The sequence below is a fragment of the Homo sapiens genome, chromosome 3 (assembly GCF_000001405.40).
Source record: "Homo sapiens chromosome 3, GRCh38.p14 Primary Assembly".
NCBI lineage: Eukaryota > Metazoa > Chordata > Mammalia > Primates > Hominidae > Homo > Homo sapiens.
In genome coordinates, this window is record NC_000003.12 from 117,397,335 (window position 1) to 117,404,082 (window position 6,748).

Consider the following 6,748-nt stretch of genomic DNA (forward strand, 5'->3'; position numbering starts at 1 on the left):
TCTGAGAGCTATTTCTAGATCTGCTCATTAACTCTCCTGATAATCCTATGCAGTGGATAGTATCACATTATCCATTTTATAGGAGGAAACAGGGTACATGGCTTGTAAGTGGTGGGGCTGGAGTTCCAGAAATATTCCATGCATAAGCACAGAGTGCTTAAACACACTTCCTTGGATCCCCGACACACCCACTTAAGTGTAGAATTGAAGCGTAGAATGGGTGTGTTGAGGATCCAAGGAAGTGTGTTTAAGCGCTATGTGCTTATGCATAGGATATTTAAAGATCAGGCAATATAGTTGCCAGAATTTATAGTCCATAGTCCTTTCACCTGTGAAAAAAAAAAATGAAGTGAGGAGAGCAATATATTATCTTGACCTCACAGGGAGGAAGATTGGCGGTACAACTTTTACACAATTACAGAGACAAACAAGTGCAGTGCAAGAATGAAAACCTATCTTGCCTTAGACTCCACAGGTTATCTGCCCTGGATCAATCAGGGATGCCCCTGCACACTCACAGGCCAGGGTCCGCATGCTCTGGATGCAGGGGGCTGTGTGCACACAGGCACACACGTATCTTATTCTCAGCCACTTCCTTGAAATAACCAGGAATACAATCCAAAAGGAGTGCTTTGTGTTTCTGAGAACCCTCAAAGAAGCTTTGAAAGACTTGAAGAGAAATGATCTTAACAAAAGAACAAAAAAAAAAAAAAAAGAAAGAAACTTGAAAGTGAACAGAAGTTCTGAAGTGTGTGGGGGTGGAAGAAGCTTTCTTGGAGAGGAACAGTAAGGAGATAGCTAACTCAAAGCGACCAGAATAGCTTAGCGAGCTGAGAATTGAGAATTTTGTGACTCGGTGGTTCTGCTCCATAGGGACACTGCCGGCTCCCGGGGAGAATGCATCTTACTCTGCCCCCTAGGCAGGTCCAGTTTCTGGACTTCCCTGGCCACACAGCTGGAGATTTCCACATCATATATTCTGCTTGTCTTAGAAAACTGAAGGACTGATTTTCTGGGCCTTCTGACTGACCAGAGAGCGTTCTTTGTGAGAGACACAATAGCTATCTATTCCTTTGTGCAGTGTGCTTTGCCAAGTTCCATGAGGGCAGCGGTCCCTGCTATCTTTGTGTAATTCTGGGCAGTCTGAGTCCCACAAATTGGATTTACACAGCACCTGCGAGTTCTCACACAAGCCCCCTTGTTGGTAATATCATTTGGCATATGTAGCAAGCATTCATTTTTATCATAGTGTTAATTGTTAGCCATGGCAGTAACAAGCCAGAAAAAAGCACAGGCAGAAAAAAAGCCACGTCTGCTCAATTAAAAGGGGTAAATGGCTTGGCGGCACGGCAGGGTGCTGCGGACACAAAGAGCAGGTAAAGGAAGTGACCTGTGGTGTTGAAGTTTATTTGTTTGAACAGCTGAGAATTATCTCCTGACCTAAGTCACCTCCATAACAGGTGGCCCTTTCTGTCTGAGTCCCACAGCACTTGGCTTGAGAGAGTGTCCAATCTCATTCATGTGGAAAAGATCAACTCTTTTTTCCCCCTGTAAGGAAAAAAAAAAAGGAATGTGACTGGCTGTTCAATTGTAATCATTTCTTTGAGTGCCTCTGTGTGGAAAGGATGCTGCCTCACCTATTCCTCAGTTTCCACATCTGTAAAATATGGAAACTACTACTTGCTCTATTTCCCTTCGAGGGCTTTTTGGGAAATCCATACAGTAACAAAAAAAAAAAAAAAAAAAAAAAAGACAACACATTACCAATGCTAAGTGCAAAGTCACAAAGTCATGTTACAAATGTCTACAGGAGCAAAACTACAGTCAAGAACAATGTCATAAGATATTTTAAAATTCATGGCTGTGGATTATTTGTTGAGCACTTGTTTTGCTGTAGCTCCTGGTGACTGGGGGATACACACTCCTTGTGAAGGGCTCTAGGTGTGGCATAGACAGATACCTCTGCTTCCATAGCAGCCTTCTTCTGAACCCCATGCTATTACCTGCTGGACAGTCAGCAGTGGGGCACCATCACTGTGGCAGGTGAAGCACTCTACCCCAAAGAGAGAGAAAAGCTGCCTTTCATTGCAAGCCTCCTCTCCAGACACACTCTGGAGTCACAGCAGTTTTTGTCTGTGTGGCCTTGTCCTAAAATTGCTGGCTGTTCTCCTCATCTTCCTTTCTCTTGGATCAGAGTTAGCACTGGGAGAACCCTACAGGGTGATTGTCAGACCACAGGCATGTTCTGGCTCTGTGGTCTGATAGGCTGTCTGTGGGCCTTCTCTGTGTACCCAAGCCATCTCTGATTACACACAGAGTGCCAGAGAAAAACAAAACACTTTCAGTTTAGGCAAAGTTGAGAAACCCATCAAAATAAACACTGTTGATGGTCACAGATTTAAAAAAGAATATGTAGAGAGATAATAGGTAAAATGCATTGACAGTCACAGACATAGGCTGCGTGGCTGGCTGCCCCTACTGCTTAAAGCACTGTGTGTCCGGAGATCTAAGTGTCATTAGTGGTATTTACGAATCCATCAAATGTGCAGATTTTTACTTTGCAGATCAAGTAAAATAAGGAGAGAGGACGAGAGGCATGCTGAGACTCCATGCTGCTTGAAGAGAAAAACCCTCATTTGTATTCCTAAGCCCTTTGCCATGAACTGCTGATGTCCCCAAACAAAAAGAAAGCTCGTGGTTTCTGTTCTGGTAAATTAAAAAGCCCTTTAGCTTAACAGCAAAGCATCTGTCTACCTTGTTATACATATGGCATCTAATCAGAATGCAGGAGGTCAGGGCAGAGGGGAGTAAAGAAAGTGAAGATATTGGGGTAGAAAGCTAAGGAAAGTATTAAACCTAAGATTTGGGGAGTAAATTAGTAAGGAAATGAATTTTACAAAAGAAAGAGGAGAATAGCAAATGAGAATCAGGGAAGGTAACAAAAAGATAACATCCAAAAGAGGAGCAAGAAAGAATAAACGGGAAAGGTGTGTAAAACTGAAATGAAGTTGGTTGACGATGGGAAAAAGAGAAGGATCGTCCAGCAGCAGATAAAGAGCAGCTGGGGAGAACGTAACAGATTCTGATCGATCGTGATGTCTGGATGAGCTCAGTTTCAGGGCTGTGATAATCTTTACAATGGACTGAGCTTTGCTCTCGGGGTTTATGATCCTGGAAGAACCACTTGATTGACTCATGATTCTCCAATTGATCACTTCATATCAGCAATCTTTGCTTCTATGACTCATCACCACTCAGAACCTCTCACAAAGAAGCTGTTGTGTCTTGAGAACTTTGGTGATATTAATTATTTTTTAAAGAGTATATTAAAACTTAGATAGCCCCTGTTGACATTCCACAAGGAGAAAAATGCCCTAAATACCAATAGCTGCCTGTGATATCCTGTGATAGAAAAGTAATAAAACAAAGTAAAAATTAGGAGGCATGCTAGACTGTGCTTCTATTTCCTTGCTGAACTAAGTCGCAGCTTTGTTAAGAATTATATAGCAGTTGGCATGTCCAGTTGATATTTACTTGCAAAATCATCATTGGCTCTTATACAGCTCATTCTTGACTCTGATACGCCAACGTTCCAATCTACATAAAGGTCTTTGGGGTAGTATGACATGCAGTGATTCTGAGTATGCTTTAGAAGTCTTTAGGCAGTATAGACCTGACTTCAATCTAGCTAGAAAGGTGGAAGACAAAACTCTTTTTCAGCTGAGGCTCTTTCTCAGAACAGAGGCCTTTCCTCCTCTTCCTACACACAAAAAAATACTCAGCCTGGGTAGGAGGAGCTGGCTCTAGCCCAATAGAGCAGATTATTTACCAGTTTCAATTATCTGCACTAATGCTCCCCTTCATTGGTGAGGGTAATTGAGAGTTGAATGTATTTACAAGGACAGGGCTATAAAGCTGAAACAATTTTACAAGGTGTGGTGCAGAAATGAAAAGGTAGAAAAAGAGCTGGTCTAGACAATGCTTTTTGAAAACATATTTCACATAACTCTAGCAAGATTGCTAGGTCCTGAGGGGAGGATGGGTATTTCAGAAGAGCTATTAGAAGTGCTATTAGGTTTTAGGAGATTTTTGTGGAGTTATTGGACATTTCATATTTTAAGTTAGGATGAGGGTATTATCTCTGAATCCAATTCCTTTCTCTCCTTTTATTTCCAAACCCACTCTGGTCTTCATCCTGCTGTGGTGTGCTTGTTCCCAGGAGCAATCTAGCATCCCAGTGGAAAGTGGCCGACCTAAATGTGGCTCTCCAAAGACAAAAAATTTATTCTGGGTATTGTATGATGACCCAGATACAGTATGATATAAAATAGAATATATTACTGTGGGTCTGATAATGTCGATTTCAAGTTTCCTAACCTAGTATCTACTTATAGTATTATTATTTTTAGGTCCGGCTTCTCCCTTTACAAGGAGTAATGACTATGTGTGGCCAACATATTTGGCTTTATTACTTTAACTCTCAATATTCTGATTTCTCTTTAGATCATATAAATCTTTTGCCTTTCTCATTAACTCTCAAAATGAGAAGCCAAAAAGTTTTGTTGCTGTTATAGTTTGATTTTTTAAAGTATACAAATGACATCTGCTTTCAAAAATATTGAAACCACTGGGTTTATAACTTCTTGAAATACCAGTTAGTTTGGTGATAAAAGTTAAACGAGACAAGCATGAACTTATCGAAATTACAACTCCTTATTTGCAGCAGGATAGTTTTTGATGATAATGTCCACTGATAACAATGATGAAATAAACTACATGCATTTCCCCTCAAGGCCTCTGCACATGCTCTGGGGCCTCTCCTCTGTGTGTGGCTGGCTCCTCTCATGCTCTGGATCTCACCTTGAAGTCACCTCTTCAGGGAAGCCTTCTTTGACTCTCCTGCCTAAATGACATTATTCTCTACCTCAGCACTCAGCCTGTCCTTTATAGTACTTGCCACTGTTTCTAGTTGTTTTATTTATTTGCTGATTTAAAATGAGTCGATCTCATGACTACACTGTAAATTACCTAAGTTGAGGAGATCATGTTTCTCACGTTCACTTTTTCATCCTAGTGCTAGCAATGACCTGACATGCCACATAGTAGATGTACAACTAACATCTACTTAAGTGAATGCACCAATGAATGATGCCTGGGTTATCAATGTGATGTACACCTCTTCATTCACTATTACCTGCTCTGAATCCCATAAGTAATTAGAGGTTACTAGGTTTTTATCAGAGAAAAGAGAAAACTCTTAACTTTCATAAACACTTGAAATATTTCTTTTCCTTTGGTACTACTGCTGATAATACCTATGACTGCTGAGTGGTTGGTGTTTTCCAGGCAACTTGCTTTATGAGCATTCCTCTATTTAATATTCGCAACAAACCTATAACGGGTACTTTTATTATCCCACTTTACAGGTAAAGACACAGAGAGTTGGCGAGGTTAATGAATTTGCCCATATAGGCTATTAATCAAGGACAGACTGTAATTTAAACTCAAGCCTATCTGGTGCCAAAGCTCACTGTCTTACCCATTGCTATCTATGGTAAATTAAAAATTTAGTGTTGTAACTATCTAATTATATGTATCATACATATTTACTACTAGATATAAAGTATTATCAGAAAAAAAGGGCTTATTCCTTCTCATTTTTTATCTTCCCATTCCTCCCCACATTTTTATTAATCTATTAACATATGTATTTAATTCTTATAGAACCTAGTATAGTAATCTGCTATGTGAATGCTCATCAATAAATGGTTCTTTGAGTGAGACCTCCAAAGCAGCATATGACATGGTACATGTTAACCTTTAGGTGAGGAAAAAAGCCAAATTCCCTAATTTATCTTGCTGCTAACGGCAAGGTTGAACACCACCACAGAGTATGTATATAAAGAGGTGCAGTTAGCTGACGCCCTCCTCTGTTCCCAAAAATGTTTAGGTAAGTTTTTATCCGGGAATAGTAAAAGCTCCAAAAATAAGAAAAATCATCCTGGAAACTATATTTATTATTTATTTATTTTAAAATTAAGTAAAATTAATTAAATGTGAACCCATTCACGGACCCTAAGGAAAACAAGATAACATTTTTGGGGGGCATTAGGTTTTCACTGGGAATTCTTCTCAAGGGCCCTGTAGCTCTAAACAGTATCGTTAATAACTCCATTGGATCTCATGGCACACTCCCTCACAATTTCATCTGCCAAATACATAAAATTTTTGACAAGTTAAAGTATATTTCCTCACCTAGAATATAGAAATTGAAATATTTGCTGACCATCAAGCTCTCAGAAATTTAACAAGAGTCCTCATGTCCTGGATTTCTTTGTAGTATGTCTCATGCACAGCACGCAATAAGGCTCTGTACACAATCAGGCAGAGGAAATGTTTGCTGAATGGAATTTCTGTAAGGAGGGATTCATGTCATAGCAGGATTTCCACTGCAAGCCTATTTTAAGACAGAAAATATTTATCCTGTCTAATCAACCAAAAGATCAGGGTCTGAATGTTTTTTAAATCTACACCTATTTCTACTAGGAGGCACCATAGAGCATTTGTCAAATCTTCTTTTACTTTGCTTGGGTTTATTAACACAAGCAAAATAAAAGAAGATTTGACAAATGCTATATGGTGAAATCTAACCAAATAGTCCAACAGAATAATGGGGCCTGAAAATTCTCTTTTGCACAATAGTCTAATTTTTGCCCAAATTACCGATTTTTGCTCTGAATAGTACACA

General features: G+C 39.6%; 2 annotated features.

Moving 5' to 3' along the window:
* Nucleotides 1,880–2,580: an enhancer, noted in NCBI's record as "OCT4-NANOG-H3K27ac hESC enhancer chr3:117118061-117118761 (GRCh37/hg19 assembly coordinates)". NCBI's record gives its function as "activates a minimal SCP1, AML or CMV promoter by ChIP-STARR-seq in primed H9 embryonic stem cells {active_cell/tissue: H9 hESC(primed)}" and the evidence as "EXISTENCE:reporter gene assay evidence [ECO:0000049][PMID:30033119]".
* Nucleotides 2,581–3,280: an enhancer, noted in NCBI's record as "OCT4-NANOG hESC enhancer chr3:117118762-117119461 (GRCh37/hg19 assembly coordinates)". NCBI's record gives its function as "activates a minimal SCP1, AML or CMV promoter by ChIP-STARR-seq in primed H9 embryonic stem cells {active_cell/tissue: H9 hESC(primed)}" and the evidence as "EXISTENCE:reporter gene assay evidence [ECO:0000049][PMID:30033119]".